Source organism: Homo sapiens, chromosome 1, assembly GCF_000001405.40.
Source record: "Homo sapiens chromosome 1, GRCh38.p14 Primary Assembly".
NCBI lineage: Eukaryota > Metazoa > Chordata > Mammalia > Primates > Hominidae > Homo > Homo sapiens.
The window spans coordinates 187,325,578-187,351,186 of NC_000001.11; the positions used below are offsets into that span (position 1 = coordinate 187,325,578).

Sequence of the window (25,609 nt, forward strand, 5' to 3'; positions counted from 1 at the left end):
GCATCATGTAAGAATTATCTTACTCTTGAACTGAGGTATGGTGAAGGAAATGCCACATCATTTTGTTTAATTTACCAATATATCTCCAAATAAACTGCCTTTTAAGAGGCTGAGTGTTACAAAATTTTAATTTAAATGATACAAATGGCTATTATTCCTACATTGGAGACTACATAAAGTGGGAAGTCGGAATGGGGGTGAGGGTTGAAAAATTACCTACTGGATACAATGTACTCTCTTTAAGTGATGGGTACACTAAAAGCCCAGGCTCTACCACTATCCAATATAAGCATGTAGGAAACCTGCATTTGTACCCCCTAAATATATAAAAATAACAAAAGTAAATGAACCAAATGTATTTAGTTTATGATGACCACGATAATCTTCTGCCTATTCATGCTTTTAAGAATGAGGATTAAACCCTGAGCTAGCTATTCTAGATAAGAAAGATCGAAGGAAATCCTATTAAAAATTAGAGACTATAGGTAAAGGCCACACTTTTCAAAGAAACCTAAATTAGTACATAAAACTTAGGACATGGCTGCTTTGTTGTACAATTTGATATCATTTTTGAGAACAGACCTCTAAAACCATGGAATATGATTGATCACAAAGGCTTAACATGAACAAGACCCATGGAGAAGAATGCCACAACCGAACCACAGAATTTGTGATTTTTTAAAGAATGATTAACAGTGGGTGATGTTTATATACTCTAGAGAAGAACCAACACTCAGGGGTGTAGTTTCCTGCACTGACTTCAGTGGGTCACAGCAGAAAACACTATCCCGATGTTGGCGCATTTCCCGTAGTCAAGGTATTTCATGCTTACACAACATTGTGAAAGGTTGCATTGTTGGCTTCACTGTAGGTACAGGGGATGCCCACACACCTTAACGTTATGCATCCCTTCTAACTTGTGTGGCCAATGTTGGAAAGGAAAAGGTGACTATGCCGGTTCAAAGACTAAACTTAAAAAGTTTGTATGTGATACTTGTGCTTCTTGAACCTCTGTCATTGCCGGGAAAAACCTGCTCCACCTAGCTCACATATTCAAGGACAGTGAGAAAAAGACATATGATCTACAGTTCTGCTGTGAGAAGTGGTGCTGTCCCAACTTCCTCTTGAATTAGAAACATTTAGCAGAGCCCAGCCTAGATCAGTCAAACTCCAGCTCATCTGCAGACTTGTGAATCATAATAAACTAGCATTGTTTGAAGCCACAGAGTTTTAGAGTGATTTGCAATGTAGCAATAAATTATGGATACAGTCATCCATAACAACCCAGTACAGACTGAGCTTTGCCTGGATCACTATTTTCCCCTCCACTTTACCCCCTGCAGGGTCAGATGAAAGTGAGATCCATACATCCTTCTTCAGCAACTTGTGCCTCTGCTCTGCACCTCCCGCAATTAACTACTGAAAAAAGAACACAGCTTCACAAAAGTGAGTTGAAGTGCATAGCACAGAACCATCAAATTCCATATTTAGAACAAGAAAAATTCTATAAGACACTATTTCTGCAGAGAGAACTCTCTCATTTAAAACAAGAACCATAATAAAATGCATACCCCACAGAATATTTGGGACATTATTTGAGAACAATATTTGCATCCAAGTTACAGGTTTCTTCCAGGTTTTTCCTTCTAAATAGGGAGTATGTATTTGCCTTATATGTGAACAATTTAAGGGTTCATTTAAGAAATTTCCTCAGGCAGAAGAAAACTAATGCAAAGAATAATTCAAGCCCCTGCCACTGAGAAGACAGAAACTTTTGTATTTCAAAATGTCTCTTGTAATCTCAGTTCAGGCAATATGATACATCAAAAAATGAGAAATTATAAAATAAGAGGAGTCATATATATATGTATATATCATTATATATTTAACTTTTCCCACTCAATGTATTATGAACGTTTCCTCTCAACATTCAAGTTTCATATAACACAATATCAATTGCTGCATAATGTATCATCAAATCAGTATGCTATAACGTATTTAACCTGTCCTCTATTTCTTTAAAGTTGTTTCCAGATTTTCTTGTTATAAACAAAGTTGCAAGGAACATCCTCGTGTTTACATTTCTCATGGTTTCTCTGATTACTTCATGCTAAATCTTAGAATTTGAACTATGTGGTCAACGCACTAAAATTAAAAATGCACTAAAACTGAAAACACCTAGGATAATACCTAGAAAAAATAGTGCACCATAAATATTTGTTCAATGAATAAATAAAACAAAGTTATAGTTCCAATAGCTTATAAGATAAAGTTTATCTTCTACTTCATGTAATACTTAAAAAATTCTTAGTCATTTTGAGTTCTGCTTATGTAAATGAACTGTATCATTGCTCTTCTCTGAGAATTTTGACTGACTTTGAAAATCTCCCTGGATGCCGGGCGAGGTGGCTCACGCCTGTAATCCCAGCACTTCGGGAGGCCGAGATGGGCAGATCACGAGGTCAGGAGATTGAGATCATCCTGGCTAACATGGTGAAACCCCGTCTCTATTAAAAAAAAAATACAAAAAATTAGCCGGGCGTGGTGGCAGGCGCCTGTAGCCCCAGCTACTCGGGAGGCTGAGACGGGAGAATGGTGTGAACCTGGGAGGCGGAGCCTGCAGTGAGCTGAGATCGCGCCACTGCGATCCAGCCTGGGCGACAGAGAGAGACTCTGTCTCAAAAAAAAAAAAGAAAAAGAAAATCTCCCTGGAGTGTTTTCAGTAAAATTCAAATGGATGTCAAGTCCCTTTGGGATTCTACCAAATACTGGTTTGAAAGGAAGCTTCAAAATTATATAAGACGTTCTAGATTCAAACTAAACTTAAAATGAATATCTGCCGGGCGTGATGGCTCATGCCTGTAATCCCACCACTTTGGGAGGCTGAGGTAGGTGGATCACCTGAGGTCAAGCGTTCGAGATCAGCCTGGCCAACATGGTGAAACCCTGTCTCTACTAAAAATACAAAATTAGCCGGGCGTAGTGGCACTGTCATGTAGTCCTAGCTACTTGGGAGGCTGAGGCAAGAGACTCGCTTGAACCCGGGAGACGGAGGTTGCAGTGAGCTGAGATCGCACCATTGCACTCCAGCCTGGGTGACAAGAATGAAACTCTGTCTCAAAAAAAGAAAAAAGAATATCCAGAGTAATCTTCAGTGGATTCACAAAACAACCAAATTTGTGGGAACAGATGTGTATTTTTCCCAAACTCTGAGGAACATCCAATAAGTAATGCTATAATGTTTGAAAGGGTCTAGTAACTTACTTTGAACTAGATTTTTACTAGGGTTTTCTTTGGTTACCCCAACATACCTATGCTTTTTTTGAATCAGCATGTAGTCTGCACCTTACATTTTTAAATGGGTATAAATATATCTGTATTGTGTACTATATGTTTTCATCTTGTATTTCTAGGAGATTGTAAAATCAGGAAGTATATCTAAGTCACCTCCAGTAGCCGTAACTCTACCTTGTCCAGTAAAAGGTAAGTATGTGAAATAGTATAATTTAGAAGTAATTATTGGAGCTATGAATTAAAGTTGATTTTTAGAATAAACATTATGTATGCTATTTTTAAAATGTTTTGCAAGCTAAAAAAAATTGGTTAAGGTAAGTAGAAAAGTAGTAACTAGAATAAACGATATTGCTTAGAATAGAAGATGGAAGTTAGCCTGAACACAAATGAGTACATAACTACTTATTGTGACTATAAAAAGAGTTGAAAGTGTTTGTAGCACGTTTTATCTAAAAAAAAAAAAAAAATACCAAGACTTTCTAAGTGAAGAATCATTACACAGCCTCAACAAATGTCAGCGTTCAAAATGTGGTGAAAACATTGGAACACAGATGATTAGAAAAACTGGTCTACAGGAAAAAAAATTGCCAAAGGGCATGGTATGTTTCAAATATCCCAGGGAGACTGGGTTTTGAAAAATATTTTATATAGAAATAAACCACAAGTAACCTAGAAATGTCTGCTTTGTTTTGGTCTGGGGTTAGGAGTTTTATTCTCATATTCAGTTAACAGTTGAAAAATAAGACTTGCTCCCCAAGAATACATGAATATTTCATGTATATATGCACAAGTGCCTTCTGAGAAAAAGACACCCATGTGTAAGTTATATGCCACCACTATAATGCTGCTCAACAATCAGAAAACTTTGGTGTTAAGTAATTTAGCATGCATTTCTCAAGATTATAGAGTAGCTGCTCTTGCCTGGAGTCAGCAGATTCAACTTGTTTCTTCAACAGAAGTTGTCATCCTCTTCTGGAAGCAGAGGGTTAGCAGGGCAGTGCCTTCTCATGGTGATGGCAGAATTCCAAGTAAAAATGCAGAAACATGCAGAAACAATGTCTCTTGAAACCTAAGATCAGAATTGACAAGCCATATTTCTATTATATTCAATTGACCAAGCAATTTACATGATTGAGTTTGGATTTTAAAAGTGGATAAATAGACCCTGCCTCTTTAATAGATTAACTACAAAATCCATTGGCAGAGAATGCAGTTTCCAGAGGGGAAAAATGGAGTTATTAATGCAATCTACCACAGCCCATAGTCCTTAAACTTCAGGTGTGCAGGTTCACAACCACTGGCCTAGTGTATCAGGCATCTATATACCAAAAACCTAAGATATATATGAGAATTAATGATATGATCTTAGAATATGTAATTAATTGGGTAGCAGATATATATAGAATTACAATATGATGGTGGCAATACATTCTGTTTTTAAAGTTTTCTTAAATTCTCCTTTTTGAGGTGATGCATTACAAAAGTTGACCCTTTAAAAGAAAATTTGCTTGATTTAACATATGAAGATGCTCCTTTTTCTCTCTGAAGCAAGAGAAACAATTGTCTCTCCCTTCTGCTCTTTAATCTGTCATCTGCACATTTTTACTGCGAATTAAGAATAAACGTTTTAAAAATATCAACTTGACTTTATCATTCCTTTTAACTATAAAGATTATTTAAATAAGCATTTTAAAGAATTATAATTGTCATTACCAAAAAAAAAAAGGAAACATCATTAGCTAAAAATAGAAAAATAAGTGACGCAGCATAAAGAATGCAGATAGTTCTATGACCAGTGACTATCTGGTCAATGGGCAAACAGCAAGCACTTAATTACTTCAGTTTCAATCTTTTGTTCTCTACTTACTGGAAATTCATATTCATTTTTTTCTTATTGGATGACCAAACTGAATGACGACCAAACTAGTAATCTGTCTTTCTAGGCTTGTTTAGCCTCTAGCATGAATGTATTCTCAGTTGATGGGTTGGGTGTTTTGTATTTTTGTCATTTTGTGGTTTACTACTTAGGGTGGTCATTGTCAGTAATTATAATTTCCACTTCAATTATCTTATGTAAAGACATGCCAATCTCTGCTCTAAAATATCCTACAACTCATGGAGGCCAGGAAACATAGTTGAAACTTTTTAACCTGATATGTGAGGTCATTTGCCAACAGCTCCCTAACTAATATTCCCAGTATCCTCCTACTGATCTCTTTTCTACACCTACCTCTCTGCAATCATACAAAAATCTCTCAAGGTAATCCAGTCATAAACTCAATTTCATGGCTTTAGTCCTTATTTCTAGAAATCTCATTTCTACCCTTTTCTGTTGATCTCTCAAAGTTAGCTGATCATTCAATACCCTAACTTCAGCCTCCCCAACTTTCACAGAGTTTGAATTTCTTCTCAGGACAGTCATTAGCACATTGTAAATGTTTTCATTACATTATACTGTTATATAATGGCACACATTGTTTATATTTTTCTTCTTTCAACTACTAACTATGTGATGGTACTCACACATTGTCAATATTCAGCTTTTCCAGTTAATAACTAAATAGTGCTTAAGAAGACAACTAGATTACGAGTGAGTTATCAATGGGAATTGTATACATTAAACAACAAATGACAGTGTAGAGAAAAAAATTATGTCTCATGGAAAACTATATATTGCCTATAGCACTTTGTTCTGAGTTATCTGATTATTGTCATATTTATTTTATACCTTATAGAAATCATGATTTTAACTTTCTTTAAAAATTACTCTTCAGCAGCAGAATTATTTAATAGTTCAATTTTTGATATTGAGTCTATGATTACTATCCTTAAACAACAATTATTGCATTTAAATACTGCAGGATTCAACATTAAGAGTGTCAACCCGAGCATAATTTATTTAATGGAGAACAGTATTTTCAAAAAGTATTTATAAAGAGTTACTGCTGTAAACATACAAAAGGAACTCTGCTTTATGAGAATATTTTTAATCTAGGGCAGTATAAAGTATCTCTGTTTGTTAGAAAAATATTCTTCATGGTTCAATTCCCACCTACGAGTGAGAACATGCAGTGCTTGGCTTTTTGTCCTTGTGATAGTTTGCTGTGAATGATGGTTTCCAGCTTCATCCATGTCCCTACAAAGGAGGGGAACTCATCATTTTTTATGGCTGCATAGTATTCCATGGTGTATATGTGCCACATTTTCTTAATCCAATCTATCATTGTTGGACATTTGGGTTGGTTCCAAGTCTTTGCTATTGTGAATAGTGCTGCAGTAAACATACGTGTGCATGTGTCTTTATAGCAGCATGATTTATAATCCTTTGGGTATATATCCAGTAATGGGATGGCTGGGTCAAATGGTATTTCTAGTTCTAGATCCCTGAGGAATCGCCACACCGACTTCCACAATGGTTGAACTAGTTTACAGTCCCACCAACAGTGTAAAAGTGTTCCTATTTCTCCACATCCTCTCCAGCATCTGTTGTTTCCTGACTTTTTAATGATCGCCATTGTAACTGGTGTGAGATGGTACCTCATTGTGGTTTTGATTTGCATTTCTCTGATGGCCAGTGATGATGAGCATTTTTTCCTGTGTTTTTTGGCTGCATAAATGTCTTCTTTTGAGAAGTGTCTGTTCATATCCTTTGCCTACTTTTTGATGGGGTTGTTTTTTTCTTGTAAATTTGTTTGAGTTCATTGTAGATTCTGGATATTAGCCCTTTGTCAGATGAGTAAGTTGCAAAAATTTTCTCTCATTCTGTAGGTTGCCTGCTCACTCTAATGGTAGTTTCTTTTGCTGTGCAGAAGCTCTTTAGTTTAATTAGATCCCATTTGTCAATTTTGGCTTATGTTGCCATTGCTTTTGGTGTTTTAGACATGAGGTCCTTGCCCATGCCTATGTCCTAAATGGTATTGCCTAGGTTTTCTTCTAGGGTTTTTATGGTTTTAAGTCTAACATGTAAGTCTTTAATCCATCTTGAATTAATTTTTGTATAAGGTATAAGGAAGGGATCCAGTTTCAGCTTTCTACATATGGCTAGCCAGTTTTCCCAGCACCATTTATTAAATAGGGAATCCTTTCCCCATTGCTTATTTTTGTCAGGTTTGTCAAAGATCTGATAGTTGTAGATATGCGGCATTACTTCTGAGGGCTCTGTTCTGTTCCATTGGTCTATATCTGTGTTTTGGTACCAGTACCATGCTGTTTTGGTTACTGTAGCCTTGTAGTATAGTTTGAAGTCAGGTAGCATGATGCCTCCAGCTTTGTTCTTTTGGCTTAGGATTGTCTTGGCAATGCGGGCTCTTTTTTGGTTCCATATGAACTTTAGTTTTTTCCAATTCTGTGAAGAAAGTCATTGGTAGCTTGATGGGGATGGCATTGAATCTATAAATTACCTTGGGCAGTATGGCCATTTTCACGATATTGATTCTTCCTACCCATGAGCATGGAATGTTCTTCCATTTGTTTGTGTCTTCTTTTATTTCGTTGAGCAGCGGTTTGTAATTCTCCTTGAAGAGGTCCTTCACATCCCTTGTAAGTTGGATTCCTAGGTATTTTATTCTCTTTGAAGCAGTTGTGAATGGGAGTACACTCATGATTTGGCTCTCTGTTTGTCTGTTATTGGTGTATAGGAATGCTTGTGATTTTTGTACATTGATTTTGTATCGTGAGACTTTCCTGAAGTTGCTTATCAGCTTAAGGAGATTTTGGGCTGAGACAATGGGGTTTTCAAGATATACAGTCATGTCATCTGCAAACAGAGATAATTTGACTTCCTCTTTTCCTAATTGAATACCCTTTATTTCCTTCTCCTGCCTGATTGCCCTGGCCAGAACTTCCAACACTATGTTGAATAGGAGTGGTGAGAGAGGGCATCCCTGTCTTGTGCCAGTTTTCAAAGGGAATGCTTCCAGTTTTTGCCCATTCAGTATGATATTGGCTGTGGATTTGTCATAGATAGCTTTTATTATTTTGAGATACATCCCATCAATACCTAATTTATTGAGAGTTTTTAGCATGAAGGGTTGTTGAATTTTGTCAAAGGCCTTTTCTGCATCTATTGAGATAATCATGTGGTTTTTGTCTTTGGTTCTGTTTATATGCTGGATTACGTTTATTGATTTTTGTATGTTGAACCAGCCTTGCATCCCAGGGATGAAGCCCACTTGATCATGGTGGATAAGCTTTTTGATGAGAACACATGGACACAGGAAGGGGAACATCACACACTGGGGACTGTTGTGGGGTGGGGAGACGGGGGAGGGATAGCATTAGGAGATATACCTAATGCTAAATGACGAGTTAATGGGTGCAGCACACCAATATGGCACATGTATACATATGTAACAAACCTGCACGTTGTGCACATGTATCCTAAAACTTAAAGTATAATAATAATTTTAAAAAAAGAAAAATATTCTTCATGTCTTTTTTGTCAAATCTGATTTTTAGTTCTTTACCTACAGTATCTGAAATAATCTGAAGCCTGGTGTTTCAAAATTATTATCATAGATAGAATAAGAAGAAAATATAAATTACCAAATATCTGCTGTCTTGGTGTCTTCTATGGTCTGAGTTTCTCTACCTAAATGTCAGGCACTAAATATTTCTTGAGTATTCTTTTTTTGGTCTATATTATGTAATTTCATTTATTGTGTCAGTTTTCTGAGTTTTTTCCCTTGGATGTTTATGAAAATTTATTTTATATTTACAAAATGGTCTAGTCACACTTCTATTATTATAATTATTTCCTGGTCTTTTAGAATTATGTGGAGTTTAAATTTAAACCTGTGTCTCTACCAACTACTAATTAAAGCTAAATTATGTTTCTCCAAGACAGAATTAGAAAATTTTTCCTAGCCAGGCACAGTGGCTCACACCTGTAATTCCAGCACTTTGGGAGGCTGAGGCAGGATCACTTGATGCCAGGAGTTGGACACCAGCCTGGGCAACATAGTGAGACCTGATCTCTACCTAAATAAATAAATTAGCTGGTCATGATGGCACACCTGTACTCCCAACTACCTGGGAAGCTGAGGCAGGAATATCACTTGAACCCAGGAGTTCCAGGTTGCAGTGAACTGTGATCGTGCCATGCACTTCACTGGGTGCCAGAGCAAGACCCTGTCTCAAAAAAAAAAAAAAAATCTGACAGTGAACAAATAATAAGCTAGAGAAATATGTGAAAACTAGATACAATTTCTGGAACAGAATTTTGATGAAAAGGCTTTGCAACATTTTAATTTGAAAGGTATTGTAATGTTTGCAAAAACTCTACAGCTAGCATCATCATATTAAGAGCAAAGAATTCCTCTCTCCCCATTGCTATTCAACATTCTACTGAAAGTCATAGCTGGTATAATAAGACAAGAAAATAAAACTAAAGATATATTGGTTGGAGAAGAAAAAATGTAACTGTCTTCATTTATAGCTGACATGATGGTCCATGTAGAAAATCTCAAAGAATCCACAACAACAAAATCCTAAAATTTGTAAACTAGTCAGGCAAGGTCAGAGGATTAATTACCAAGAGTCGTTTTTTTGGTGTATCAGCAATGAGCAATTGGAATTAAAAATTTAAAAAATAATACCAAATAAAATAACACCAACAAAGAAAAACACTTAGGTATAACTCCTTAATAATGTGTACAGAAGCTACATGCAATAAAATACAAAACTTTGATCAGGTACTCAAGGCTAATATCAACAGTAGTAAGTCATGTGAATAGTATGTACCCTTGATACAGTGTGATGAGAATAATGGGACTGGAAATGCACTTTAGTTCTATAGTCTTCCTCCCCAAACCCAGTCTAATCTTGAGAAAAATCTAAAATGAAGATCAGTCTATAAAATAGCAATGCTGCTCAAAACTATCAAGGTCTTCTAAAATGAGAAAAGTCTGAGAAATTGTCACAGCCAAGAGGTGCCTAATAAGGCATGACATCTAAATATAATGTGGTATCCTGGAGGGAATCCTAGAAAAAGAAAGAAGACAAGTAGAATTAAAATCACAATAAAGTATGAAGTTTAGTTTATGATAATATATTAATATCAGCTCATTAATTATGGCAAATGTCCTATACTAATCTAAGAAGTTAATAATAGGGGAAATTGAGTGTAGGGTGTGTGGAAACTGTACTGTGTTTGCAGTGTTTTTGTAAATAGAATACTATTCTAAAATCAACATTTTTTAAAAAAATATTCTGATTCTAAAATCTTATAATCACACACAAAATATGTGAATTTTTTAGCTCAAAACCACCCCAAGATCAGTGTCATAAGAGTATCTTTAACATTGGGGGTAGCCTAACATTTTAAATCTTCACTGTAACTTGCTCATGAGTGTCCTTTATTTCCCTCTCTCAAGCACTACTAAAGGATTATTTGAAAATTTTTCAAAAGTTTCTATCATATCCTAATAATTTTACATGCCAATAGCTTCTGTATTATATTCTTTTAAAATATTTTGTTAAAATATGGCATAATAATTTATAGCTTTGGCCTGTGGAGATGAAAGCTCAAATTTTTTCAATTATCTATTATGGAATCAGTTTTGACAACACGTTTACACAGCAAACAGTGGGTCAAAATACTTATGACTTTTCAGAATGGTATAAGCCAAGATATAATTTAATCCATATGTTTTCCACAAATGGTTCATCAATTATTGATTAGGCTTAATGAGTATGCTAATAAGCAGAACTCAAGTGGCTTCTTTAGCCCTTCTGTGCTTTCCAGGTCCTCATAAATTTTTGAAATGGTGACTGCTGGAAATAGATCATGGATTGGTGCCAAGAAGCCATCATGCAGACCACATATGGTGTTCAAGGGCTGATGTTTGTCCTTTCAGGATAGTATCAAAAATGTACTTTGTGTGACATTTGTTCTAAAACATAAATTAATTTGTAAAGTTTCCCCTTGTGTGCTTGCTATACATATTGTTTTTTCACAGGAGATATTAAAATACAGACCTTACTCATTTTGAAGATTAAATTGTAAAGGATCATTTTGGAGTCATACCGCCTTTAGAGGTAGTCATGGAGACCTAGATTTCAAACTGAAACTTCTGTTGATTGGTTTCATTGTAAGAAGTTTTACTGTTATCTAAGCCCTGAAAATGATTTCTGGAACCTGACTCATTTATCTCCACTCTCTAAATGACACTAGGTTGAGTAATCTAACTTTTTAAACAAGTTAATACATTCTGATTATTATTTAATCAAAAAGGAACAGTTAAAGTGTAATTGCTTTCTTCGACTAGCAAAGAGAAACACAAAATATGTTTAGAGCATAATTAAAGTATGATTCTGAGTGAGACAATGAGCTACAAACTGTTGTATTTGCATATAACACACCCTGGATAACATAATCTTAAAATAATATGAATGTAAAGCCATTAAAATAGTTTATTGAAAAAATTACTTGAACTTTGCTTCAGATATTTAAAATTGACATCCTAGTAAACTAAATTTTCTATGAATGGATATTATAATAATTTGTTAAAATAATTATAAATATATTGAAAATTTTTTATTCAACATTATAGATGCTCTTGTATTAATAAAGAACACTTCCTATTGTAACTTCAAATATTTCTCAGGACTTTGTTGCTCAAAAATATCTAGAAAACTAAATAAGAGGTAGCGACGCCTAACCACAATGATATTTGCTCATCAGAATATAACATTTTTCATTTTAGGTATTCAGAAAAGGTACCATTTCATAAATATCACTGCTAAATATACCCCTAACAGCCTACATAAAGAATGAAACACAATAAAATATGATGCTAGTGAGTGCTGAAATAAACATGATTGTTCTGTTTGCTGCTTCACTTTTTAAAATGACTGTGACCTTAAATATTTCTGCGTTCTTACGCATCAAAATGCTAATTTCTTTTACATATCTTTAATTTAGGTAACATATTTTATGCTTTCACACCGAACTTTAGTAAAATGATATCAAATTTTTTAACTTCTTTCCTAAAGTTCAGACTGTCATTCTTGATATTAGTATCATGTCACAAGCTGTGATAAAAGAGTGAACCATAAGAAACGAATTGAAGAATAGAAATACTTTAACTGTAATTATCCAAGAGCAATAGTTTAGAATGATGAATAAAAAGTTGATCAATTACTCAGGTATTTTCTAATAAAGGGATGAATAATGATTTATACAAACCACTAAAACAGAGCGTTTATCCAGATACTTTTTCTCTTTGTCAGTGTAGTTTAATACTAGTCTTCACCAATATATACTGATGTATATTTTTTACTATCTTCTTTTGTTGAATAAACTGATGATGAAACCAATATTTTAACCCTCTTCAAAAAAGTGAAGCCACCAGAAAGATATCATTTTTCCTAGAATTATGTTCAATGTAGTTATTTAGTATCAACAGATAGAAATCCTAAAGAAAGAAATTTCACAATAAAATCATCACATAATTAAAATTGTGATTGAAAGCTAGCATGCTCTTTAGCTTCAAATGCTGTTTGTGATGTTATAGCATTCTTCCCTGGTCAATTTATTTCTGTAAGTTATCAACTTTAAAGATATTTTACTTTCAAAAACATTAATTCTTTCACCCTCAGAAAAACCAAACTTTACTAGAAACCCATAAATAATCATAGAAATAAATAACAGAATCCTAATTTACATTTAACCTTTGTTTTAAATGATTAATGGATGCTATTTATGTAAACTATTTCTACAATGCAGCATGAAATGAAATTTAAATTGCAGATTTTACAGTGGTGTATTTTAGCTAGTGACCCTATCTCCATGAAGAAAAATAAAAGAAAACCAATTACATTTGTAATAAAGATGCTAATGCATTTCTTGTTTTAAAGTTATTTAAGTTGTGATTGTTTAAGAAACTTATTTCTAATGAACTTGAAAGAGATGCTGTGGTGGAAATTTGTCTTTAAAGAGAAAAATGGTTTAGTTTTTGCCCCACTTTGAACTCCAACAAATGTCCCTCTCTGGGCCAGATACTGGGTCAGCAAGTGGTTTGGTGTGAATGAGGTCTGGGATGCCTATGCAACCAGACTGAGGGAGAGGTATGGAATTCCTATTTGGTTGGTCAGCAGGGAGGCTAGGCACTTGGTCAGACTGCCCAAATGTGTCAATCAGAACCCAGAGCATTATGGGAAATACTGAGTTCACTGATATCTGTAGACCTTTCAGTGGGAAGCTTGACATCAGTCCCTTTAAGTGCATCTGATTTCTCTGGTCTCCAAACATCCAAAAAGGAGCTAAGAAGGTGGGCTACCTGCCTTACTTCCAAATTAAAGAGTACAGGAAAATGGCAGCCCTCTGCTGGTGGTGTAATAGTAGACTGAAAGCCAGCTAAGTCAAACCACACATGTGGCAGAGAATGCTTCTCCTAACATCACTCACAGATCTACTGAAACTCACAATGCATGCCTACACCTCAACTTCAAACAATAGACAGAGATTTAAAAGAACACCTGAAGGGAGACAGGAAGAGAAACAGAATATGAAGAGGATTCAACCAAACAGAGCCAATGAAGCAGACAGAGCAACTTAAATAATAAGAGCAATTTTTTAAAATGAGACAAAAAGGAAAGGATACTCAGTGCATAGTTGGTAGCTTAAGAAAACAAGAATTTCTTAAATCATAGAGCAAAAATGCAAAAGAATAGAAATCATGAGCATCTTAGGATAGATTAATCAATGCTATGAGGTACAGAAGGAGAAAAAGAAACAAATGGCAGAGAGGAAACAATGAATAAACAATAGAAGAACATTTATTTGAGTTGAAGAAAGACTAAATTGGATGGATCTATTTTATACCAACCCAAGATGTCATTCACTTGTATAGATAAATGAAAGATGTGTGTGGATACGACAGGATTGAGATAAAATATCACCCACAAAGCCTATTTGAACAAAATACTGGAGCAAATACTCAAGCCAAATAATAAATCAACTAGAAAAAGACCATAGCGTGAGAGAAAATAAAATTGAGAAGAAATGCTTTTGAGCAAGTCACAATATGTGTGTGTATATAGGAAAATAGTAAAATGACAAAATAAATGGGATCAAAAAATTCACTTGTGTAAAATCAGAGTTTGTATTATTGTGACAGCAATGAAAATAATATTTTAAGTCAATCTTTTGGTTTTGAAAGCAAAAGTGTGCAAGATGAAATAGATGAGATAAATACAAATGTACTATGAAACATCAATGAGTCCCTTTTAAGATTTGGACGGAGCTAGTAGAGAAGATAAGCACAGTAAATTTAATATATAAAAGGACACATTCTGAAATCACAATCTAAAAATGCACAGGAAAAAAATTGAAAAGTTGGTCAAGAATAAAATTTTATTTAGAAATTAGGAAATAATTCTTAGGCAACATCGCATCTAAAAAACTCCACTAAAATTGTATAATCTTTTGTTAAAGTGTGTTTTTAAAACCTGTGAGACACATGGCAGACTCTTCACAGAGGAATAAAGAGGCACTTAAAGCACATAATGTCATTATTAAGAAGGAAAGTTCCTTAACGCTCATGTTAATAAATTTAAACTGAAGTTCATTTTAAGAAAAAGAACAACAAAATGTCCCCCAAAATGTAGGAAAGTAATGTATTAATTGTATATTAATAAATATACAAGCCGAAATGAAGTAAAAATCTAAGAATTAGCAGGAAGAATGCATGAATCCAGAACTGCTTCTTTCAAAATAGCAGCTTAATAGGAAAATAAAAATATACAAGATTAAGAATGATGAAGGATATATAGTCACAGATGTAAAAGAAATTAAACAAATACTAGCCACAATTCTGTGACACTTAAAGTTGATGGCCTTAAGGCCTTGGTGATAAAAAGCAAAAAGTTGCTAAGATTTCCCAAGAACAGGACCTTTATCACCTTCTCATTTGGAGTATTCTGAGTGTATCCTGGGAGACGCTATTGCAGTTCAGTCTGTAAAGGTAAATCTTTCAAAAGCTGGGATGGGAGGAAAATTCTTCAGAATCTCCAGAATCATTACTGTCCAGTCATCTGACAGATAAGATTGCTGTCCTCATGATAGGCTATTTGCCAGAGTTCCTGATAAATACTAGCTGAATATATTGACCCCCATTGAATTTCAAAATGATATGATTAAATGACAAGCATACGTCACATGGTGTATTAGTCTGTTCTCACATTGCTGTAAGAAACTACCGGAAACTGGGTAATTTATAAAGAGAAGAGGTTTAATTGGCTCACAGTTCTACAGGCTGTAGAGGAAGTATTACTGGGGAGGCCTCAGGAAACTTATAATCCTGGTGGAAGGCTAAGGGGAAGGAGGGACGTCTTACGTGGCCTGAGCAAGAGGAAGAGACAGCAAAGGGGGATGTGCTACACACTTTTATAAACAACCAGATCTCGTGAGAACTCACCATTACAAGTGATTCGAGCAGAATCAGATCCCCAAATACTTCTATAAAAGCAAACTTTTAAAATGAATTTTATTTGCATATAAAGGGGAATGAGGCAGCTGACTTCTCTTTGGCTCTTGGGCCTCTTTCTAAACATAACGTTTTTGAGTGTAAATGATTACAAGAACAGCATGGGGAAAATCCGCTTTCAAGATCCAATCCCCTCCCATTGGGCCTTTCTTCCAACAGTGGGGATGAAAACTCAACATGAGATTTGGGCGGGGACAAAGACCCAAACCGTATCACATGGTAACAGCATAAGTTATACTTTAAGGTTTTATACACACACACACACACACACACACACACATATAACAATATATGTGTACATATATATTTGTATAATTCAGATTCAGACTATATAATCATATATCTCTATACACACACACAGACACACATAATATATATAAATTATATATGCATATCCTCAGTCTCAATTTTAAAAATCAGAGTGCCACTGGGAGAATAACACAAGCAAAAAGTTGTTTAGAAGGCTTACCATTTTTGGAAAGTTATAAGTTATATATTAACATTAGTAAACTACTATTAAATATACTAAATCTTTTTATCTTAAAATTGCATTTACAGTATAAAATTAAAACACACATTCCTGTCATAAGCATATTGTTTGGCACACTTACATCCAACTAATAGTTTACCAAAGCATGTTATTGAAATATCAGATTAGGTCAACTTCAATCTTTCTGGCACCTAATACATTTTTCCCAGTCCTTAGCAGGCTATCTGGTATAGAATAAGCATTAAATAACTCCTGACTGCATAGCATTTTCCATGACCCATTAAGTAAATCAGATTATGGGCCCTCTTGCATTACCTGAAGAGATTTCTATTGTATCAACAAATCACAAGTAATTAAAGTTGTCGTATTCATTTCCATTAACTCCAGTAATAAAAGGGTGTGTGATAAAAAAAAGTAAGGACTCTCATTGAACGTGTAGTAACAAAGGACTACTACACAGAAGCATATTATTGAGTGAATTTACAGAGCAATTTGGTTAACAGACTATCCAATTTTTAAAAATCTTGATATGAGTCTTACTGATGCTATTTTAAACTGAATTTTTCTAGAAGTGGTGTTCAAAAATTGCAGCCAGTTGTACAGTCAAACTAATAATAAGAAAGTTGAATTACTCTTCTTTTACTTCAGGGATGCTAGGACTTGGAAACCCTTCTATCCACTTACTTGACTATCTCTACGTTTAAAGGAAATTTTGCTCAATGACATGGATTGATTTTTTAAAATGTCAGAAAGCCTTGCTACATATGTTCTATTTATACATTACTTTTATTGGGTTTACCGAATTGTTTACGAGTTTGAAAGTGTGTTTGGACATAGTGTTTAAACAGCCAGAGATGTTTTGGTTAGTTGCGGTCTGATGGTAGGGCAGATGTGTATGGATTTTAGCAGACATTTAAAAATCTCATCTTGACTTTGAGAAAAAGCTCTTCCCGACCCTAGAAAATAACTTTATATGTGATAAACTTCACAAAAAACCTAGTGACAAAAGGCTTTTTCCAGTATGAGACAGAGTAAAAGAATAGAGCCCTAAAATTGTGGCCCCCTGGCCAGCAAAGCCAGGACCCTGATTTTATAGAAAGAAACTGGTTGTAAGCTTTAACAAATCATCAAGCTGCAGACAGATCAACATTATGAATTTTCTGAGCAAATGTATTCAGAATTTGACGAAACAAGTCAAACTAACTTGACTAGTTCCTCAAGTTACGATTGAATTATATTTAATGTAACAAGAGTCTTTAGTTGAGAAATTTACTGTACCATAAATAAGGAAGTAATTCCTAGATATTATAATTAATATAATATCTAAGAATATCTAAGTTAGTAAATATAATATCTAAGATATATTACAAATTTCTACAAAAGGTGTTCTTTTATGTTAGTAAACATGACAATAAAATTGGCTATGCAAGTACCTACCAGATTATGTATTCTTTCTATTCCTGTCCCAATGTTTATGTATTGTCACTTGTTGTCCTAGCTTATTTTAAACCCTTCGGTTTCTATTAATTCATTCTTACGTCTCCTTTACCAAGTCTGAAAACCTATTCTAACTTTCTGCCTACACACAAACATACTTCTCTCCTTATTGGTGAAATGCAACACTTATTCATACTTGTTTTTCCAAAATAATCCTGTTGTATAAATTTCAAGGATAATAATAATAATGATATATAAACTAGTAAAATTATTATAATCAAGTGTATTTTGTTTTATTTCAATTCCCATACTAGCCCCAAATTTGAGAAACAGGGCATCATTTTATCTTCATGAGTTTAAGACTTTTTGAAGTTAGTAAATTTGTAAGGTTATATTTAGAATGATAGTAAGTATCCATTGATTAAACTTCTTTTCTTTTTATTTATTTTTTTATTTTTTATGTTTTTAATTAGAATTTTTTTTTTTTTATTATTATACTCTAAGTTTTAGGGTACATGTGCACATTGTGCAGGTTAGTTACATACGTATACATGTGCCATGCTGGTGCGCTGCACCCACTAATGTGTCATCTAGCATTAGGTATATCTCCCAATGCTATCCCTCCCCCCTCCCCCGACCCCACCACAGTCCCCAGAGTGTGATATTCCCCTTCCTGTGTCCATGTGATCTCATTGTTCAATTCCCACCTATGAGTGAGAATATGCGGTGTTTGGTTTTTTGTTCTTGCGATAGTTTACTGAGAATGATGGTTTCCAATTTCATCCATGTCCCTACAAAGGATATGAACTCATCATTTTTTATGGCTGCATAGTATTCCATGGTGTATATGTGCCACATTTTCTTAATCCAGTCTATCATTGTTGGACATTTGGGTTGGTTCCAAGTCTTTGCTATTGTGAATAGTGCCGCAATAAACATACGTGTGCATGTGTCTTTATAGCAGCATGATTTATAGTCCTTTGGGTATATACCCAGTAATGGGATGGCTGGGTCAAATGGTATTTCTAGTTCTAGATCCCTGAGGAATCGCCACACTGACTTCCACAATGGTTGAACTAGTTTACAGTCCCACCAACAGTGTAAAAGTGTTCCTATTTCTCCACATCCTCTCCAGCACCTGTTGTTTCCTGACTTTTTAATGATTGCCATTCTAACTGGTGTGAGATGATATCTCATAGTGGTTTTGATTTGCATTTCTCTGATGGCCAGTGAGGATGAGCATTTCTTCATGTGTTTTTTGGCTGCATAAATGTCTTCTTTTGAGAAGTGTCTGTTCATGTCCTTCGCCCACTTTTTGATGGGGTTGTTTGTGTTTTTCTTGTAAATTTGTTTGAGTTCATTGTAGATTCTGGATATTAGCCCTTTGTCAGATGAGTAGGTTGCGAAAATTTTCTCCCATGTTGTAGGTTGCCTGTTCACTCTGATGGTAGTTTCTTTTGCTGTGCAGAAGCTCTTTAGTTTAATTAGATCCCATTTGTCAATTTTGGCTTTTGTTGCCATTGCTTTTGGTGTTTTGGACATGAAGTCCTTGCCCACGCCTATGTCCTGAATGGTAATGCCTAGGTTTTCTTCTAGGGTTTTTATGGTTTTAGGTCTAACGTTTAAATCTTTAATCCATCTTGAATTGATTTTTGTATAAGGTGTAAGGAAGGGATCCAGTTTCAGCTTTCTACATATGGCTAGCCAGTTTTCCCAGCACCATTTATTAAATAGGGAATCCTTTCCCCATTGCTTGTTTTTCTCAGGTTTGTCAAAGATCAGATAGTTGTAGATATGCGGCATTATTTCTGAGGGCTCTGTTCTGTTCCATTGATCTATATCTCTGTTTTGGTACCAGTACCATGCTGTTTTGGTTACTGTAGCCTTGTAGTATAGTTTGAAGTCAGGTAGTGTGATGCCTCCAGCTTTGTTCTTTTGGCTTAGGATTGACTTGGTGATGCGGGCTCTTTTTTGGTTCCATATGAACTTTAAAGTAGTTTTTTCCAATTCTGTGAAGAAAGTCATTGGTAGCTTGATGGGGATGGCATTGAATCTGTAAATTACCTTGGGCAGTATGGCCATTTTCACGATGTTGATTCTTCCTACCCATGAGCATGGAATGTTCTTCCATTTGTTTGTGTCCTCTTTTATTTCCTTGAGCAGTGGTTTGTAGTTCTCCTTGAAGAGGTCCTTCACATCCCTTGTAAGTTGGATTCCTAGGTATTTTATTCTCTTTGAAGCAATTGTGAATGGGAGTTCACCCATGATTTGGCTCTCTGTTTGTCTGTTGTTGGTGTATAAGAATGCTTGTGATTTTTGTACATTGATTTTGTATCCTGAGACTTTGCTGAAGTTGCTTATCAGCTTAAGGAGATTTTGGGCTGAGATGATGGGGTTTTCTAGATATACAATCATGTCGTCTGCAAACAGGGACAATTTGACTTCCTCTTTTCCTAATTGAATACCCTTTATTTCCTTCTCCTGCCTGATTGCCGTGGCCAGAACTTCCAACACTATGTTGAATAGGAGCGGTGAGAGAGGGCATCCCTGTCTTGTGCCAGTTTTCAAAGGGAATGCTTCCAGTTTTTGCCCATTCAGTATGATATTGGCTGTGGGTTTGTCATAGATAGCTCTTATTATTTTGAAATACGTCCCATCAATACCTAATTTATTGAGAGTTTTTAGCATGAAGGGTTGTTGAATTTTGTCAAAGGCTTTTTCTGCATCTATTGAGATAATCATGTAGTTTTTGTCTTTGGCTCTGTTTATATGCTGGATTACATTTATTGATTTGCGTATATTGAACCAGCCTTGCATCCCAGGGATGAAGCCCACTTGATCATGGTGGATAAGCTTTTTGATGTGCTGCTGGATTCGGTTTGCCAGTATTTTATTGAGGATTTTTGCATCAATGTTCATCAAGGATATTGGTCTAAAATTCTCTTTTTTGGTTGTGTCTCTGCCCAGCTTTGGTATCAGAATGATGCTGGCCTCATAAAATGAGTTAGGGAGGATTCCCTCTTTTTCTATTGATTGGAATAGTTTCAGAAGGAATGGTACCAGTTCCTCCTTGTACCTCTGGTAGAATTCGGCTGTGAATCCATCTGGTCCTGGACTCTTTTTGGTTGGTAAACTATTGATTATTGCCACAATTTCAGAGCCTGTTATTGGTCTATTCAGAGATTCAACTTCTTCCTGGTTTAGTCTTGGGAGAGTGTATGTGTCGAGGAATGTATCCATTTCTTCTAGATTTTCTAGTTTATTTGCGTAGAGGTGTTTGTAGTATTCTCTGATGGTAGTTTGTATTTCTGTGGGATCGGTGGTGATATCCCCTTTATCATTTTTTATTGTGTCTATTTGATTCTTCTCTCTTTTTTTCTTTATTAGTCTTGCTAGCGGTCTATCAATTTTGTTGATCCTTTCAAAAAACCAGCTCCTGGATTCATTGATTTTTTGAAGGGTTTTTTGTGTCTCTATTTCCTTCAGTTCTGCTCTGATTTTAGTTATTTCTTGCCTTCTGCTAGCTTTTGAATGTGTTTGCTCTTGCTTTTCTAGTTCTTTTAATTGTGATGTTAGGGTGTCAATTTTGGATCTTTCCTGCTTTCTCTTGTAGGCATTTAGTGCTATAAATTTCCCTCTACACACTGCTTTGAATGCGTCCCAGAGATTCTGGTATGTGGTGTCTTTGTTCTCGTTGGTTTCAAAGAACATCTTTATTTCTGCCTTCATTTCGTTATGTACCCAGTAGTCATTCAGGAGCAGGTTGTTCAGTTTCCATGTAGTTGAGTGGCTTTGAGTGAGATTCTTAATCCTGAGTTCTAGTTTGATTGCACTGTGGTCTGAGAGATAGTTTGTTATAATTTCTGTTCTTTTACATTTGCTGAGGAGAGCTTTACTTCCAACTATGTGGTCAATTTTGGAATAGGTGTGGTGTGGTGCTGAAAAAAATGTATATTCTGTTGATTTGGGGTGGAGAGTTCTGTAGATGTCTATTAGGTCTGCTTGGTGCAGAGCTGAGTTCAATTCCTGGGTATCCTTGTTGACTTTCTGTCTCGTTGATCTGTCTAATGTTGACAGTGGGGTGTTAAAGTCTCCCATTATTAATGTGTAGGAGTCTAAGTCTCTTTGTAGGTCACTGAGGACTTGCTTTATGAATCTGGGTGCTCCTGTATTGGGTGCATAAATATTTAGGATAGTTAGCTCCTCTTGTTGAATTGATCCCTTTACCATTATGTAATGGCCTTCTTTGTCTCTTTTGATCTTTGTTGGTTTAAAGTCTGTTTTATCAGAGACTAGAATTGCAACCCCTGCCTTTTTTTGTTTTCCATTGGCTTGGTAGATCTTCCTCCATCCTTTTATTTTGAGCCTATGTGTGTCTCTGCACGTGAGATGGGTTTCCTGAATACAGCACACTGATGGGTCTTGACTCTTTATCCACCTTGCCAGTCTGTGTCTTTTAATTGCAGAATTTAGTCCATTTATATTTAAAGTTAATATTGTTATGTGTGAATTTGATCCTGTCATTATGATGTTAGCTGGTGATTTTGCTCATTAGTTGATGCAGTTTCTTCCTAGTCTCGATGGTCTTTACATTTTGGCATGATTTTGCAGCGGCTGGTACCGGTTGTTCCTTTCCATGTTTAGCGCTTCCTTCAGGAGCTCTTTTAGGGCAGGCCTGGTGGTGACAAAATCTCTCAGCATTTGCTTGTCTATAAAGTATTTTATTTCTCCTTCACTTATGAAGCTTAGTTTGGCTGGATATGAAATTCTGGGTTGAAAATTCTTTTCTTTAAGAATGTTGAATATTGGCCTCCACTCTCTTCTGGCTTGTAGGGTTTCTGCCGAGAGATCCGCTGTTAGTCTGATGGGCTTTCCTTTGAGGGTAACCCGACCTTTCTCTCTGGCTGCCCTTAACATTTTTTCCTTCATTTCAACTTTGGTGAATCTGACAATTATGTGTCTTGGAGTTGCTCTTCTCGAGGAGTATCTTTGTGGCGTTCTCTGTATTTCCTGAATCTGAACGTTGGCCTGCCTTGCTAGATTGGGGAAGTTCTCCTGGATAATATCCTGCAGAGTGTTTTCCAACTTGGTTCCATTCTCCACATCACTTTCAGGTACACCAATCAGACGTAGATTTGGTCTTTTCACATAGTCCCATATTTCTTGGAGGCTTTGCTCATTTCTTTTTATTCTTTTTTTTCTAAACTTCCCTTCTCGCTTCATTTCATTCATTTCATCTTCCATTGCTGATACCCTTTCTTCCAGTTGATCGCATTGGCTCCTGAGGCTTCTGCATTCTTCATGTAGTTCTCGAGCCTTGGTTTTCAGCTCCATCAGCTCCTTTAAGCACTTCTCTGTATTGGTTATTCTAGTTATACATTCTTCTAAATTTTTTTCAAAGTTTTCAACTTCTTTGCCTTTGGTTTGAATGTCCTCCCGTAGCTCAGAGTAATTTGATCGTCTGAAGCCTTCTTCTCTCAGCTCGTCAAAATCATTCTCCATCCAGCTTTGTTCTGTTGCTGGTGAGGAACTGCGTTCCTTTGGAGGAGGAGAGGCGCTCTGCGTTTTAGAGTTTCCAGTTTTTCTGTTCTGTTTTTTCCCCATCTTTGTGGTTTTATCTACTTTGGTCTTTGATGATGGTGATGTACAGATGGGTTTTCGGTGTAGATGTCCTTTCTGGTTGTTAGTTTTCCTTCTAACAGACAGGACCCTCAGCTGCACGTCTGTTGGAATACCCGGCTGTGTGAGGTGTCAGTGTGCCCCTGCTGGGGGGTGCCTCCCAGTTAGGCTGCTCAGGGGTCAGGGGTCAGGGACCCACTTGAGGAGGCAGTCTGCCCGTTCTCAGATCTCCAGCTGCGTGCTGGGAGAACCACTGCTCTCTTCAAAGCTGTCAGACAGGGACACTTAAGTCTGCAGAGGTTACTGCTGTCTTTTTGTTTGTCTGTGCCCTGCCCCCAGAGGTGGAGCCTACAGAGGCAGGCAGGCCTCCTTGAGCTGTGGTGGGCTCCACCCAGTTCCAGGTTCCCGGCTGCTTTGTTTACCTAAGCAAGCCTGGGCAATGGCGGGCGCCCCTCCCCCAGCCTCGTTGCCGCCTTGCAGTTTGATCTCAGACTGCTGTGCTAGCAATCAGCGAGATTCGGTGGGCGTAGGACCCTCTGAGCCAGGTGTGGGATATAGTCTGGTGGTGCGCCGTTTCTTAAGCCGGTCTGAAAAGCGCAATATTCGGGTGGGAGTGACCCGATTTTCCAGGTGCGTCCGTCACCCCTTTCTTTGACTCGGAAAGGGAACTCCCTGACCCCTTGCGCTTCCCAGGTGAGGCAATGCCTCGCCCTGCTTCGGCTCGCGCATGGTGCGCACACACACTGGCCTGCGCCCACTGTCTGGCACTCCCTAGTGAGATGAACCCGGTACCTCAGATGGAAATGCAGAAATCACCCGTCTTCTGCGTCGCTCACGCTGGGAGCTGTAGACCAGAGCTGTTCCTATTCGGCCATCTTGGCTCCTCCTCTATCCATTGATTAAACTTCTATTTGCTCTTGTTTCTACCCTTTGATAACGGTGAGGGAGATTTTCTATAACTATAAAAAAGTATTGATTGTAGACAGACGAGACACAGAGGAAAAAACAGAAAATAAAAAAATATTCCAAAGAACAATATGGGCAAAATTGCTTATGAATATGTGACAAACATTCACCTTAAAAAATTTAAAATTTCTGGATAAATTATAATCATAATATTTTTAAATATACATCTATTTATATTCAAAATATAGAAAGGAAATCTGTGGGTGCCCCCCCGACAAAAAAAAAGAAAAAGAAAAAAGAAACTTAATATATACAGTAAGCACTGAACCTGTAAATGGCCTAGGGTGTTGTACAAATACCAAGCTTTAAAATCCATGTGGAGAATAGAAGACAAAGCCTTGGGGCTAAATGAGGCAGACAGTTGGAAATGAGATCACACACACACACACACACACACACACACACACACACACACAGAGTCAAGACTCAAAGAAATACAGTATCAGTGAAAGAGTTAGAAGAACCATCCTATAGTAGCAAAAGTAGCAATGAGGAGAATTGTATGTCAAATAAGGAGAATTCTGTCAGCTTTTATGTCAGCTATGTGTAGAAATTGGAAATAGGTATCCTTCCCAATATAATTTGCAACCAATTTGGGGAATTTCAAACAGAAACATTAAGAAAAGCCTGGAGTCAAATTAATGGTGCATAGTGGACCAGAGCCCAAAGGAAAAGCTTGTAGGAATCATTTTCTGGGAGACCATACTTTCTCTCAGGTCATTCGTGATCTCCACTGTTTAGAATCAGCCAAATATGAACTCATAATCTAAATAAACTTTATGATAAAAATAAAAATAATAATAAAAGCGAATGGGGAAAACAGTGTGCAGCTAAGAACTCAGGAAGTCAGAGGTGGTTGCCACTCTACTAAGTATTTTCTAGCCCAACTCCGAGCTGCAACTCTCCTGAAGCTACAGGACCAAATGATTTTTACTAGAATAGACAATAGCTAGGTTGTTTCAAACCTTGACAAGGACCAGACTGAACTTGGATTAAAAAACAAACCAGCCAAAACAAACAAAAAACTAACCTGATGCAATAGACTGAATGTTTGTGTCCTCCTAAAACTCGTATGTTGAAATTCTAAACCCCAATATGATGTTATGAGGTAATTAGGCCTTGGGGAGGTAATTAGATCATGAAGGTGGAGTCCTCATTATCCTAGAGAGAGTGGTATTAGCCTCCTTCTGCCAGGATACGATGAGAAGACTGCAGTCTGCAACCTGGGAAAGGACCCTTACCAGAACTAGACCATGTTGGCACTCTGATCCTAGACTTCTAGCTTCTAGAACTTTGAGAAATACATTTTCATTGT

General features: G+C 36.3%; 1 long non-coding RNA gene across 1 annotated transcript in view; it reads left to right on the plus strand.

Annotated features, from left to right (window-relative positions):
• LINC01036 (long intergenic non-protein coding RNA 1036) overlaps positions 1-25,609 on the plus strand; it is a 267,403-nt gene that overhangs the window by 232,736 nt on the left and 9,058 nt on the right. Inside the window, exon 3 of the long non-coding RNA NR_126347.1 lies at positions 3,414-3,483. This is a non-coding gene — a long non-coding RNA (long intergenic non-protein coding RNA 1036). The remainder of the gene's footprint in view (positions 1-3,413; positions 3,484-25,609) is intronic.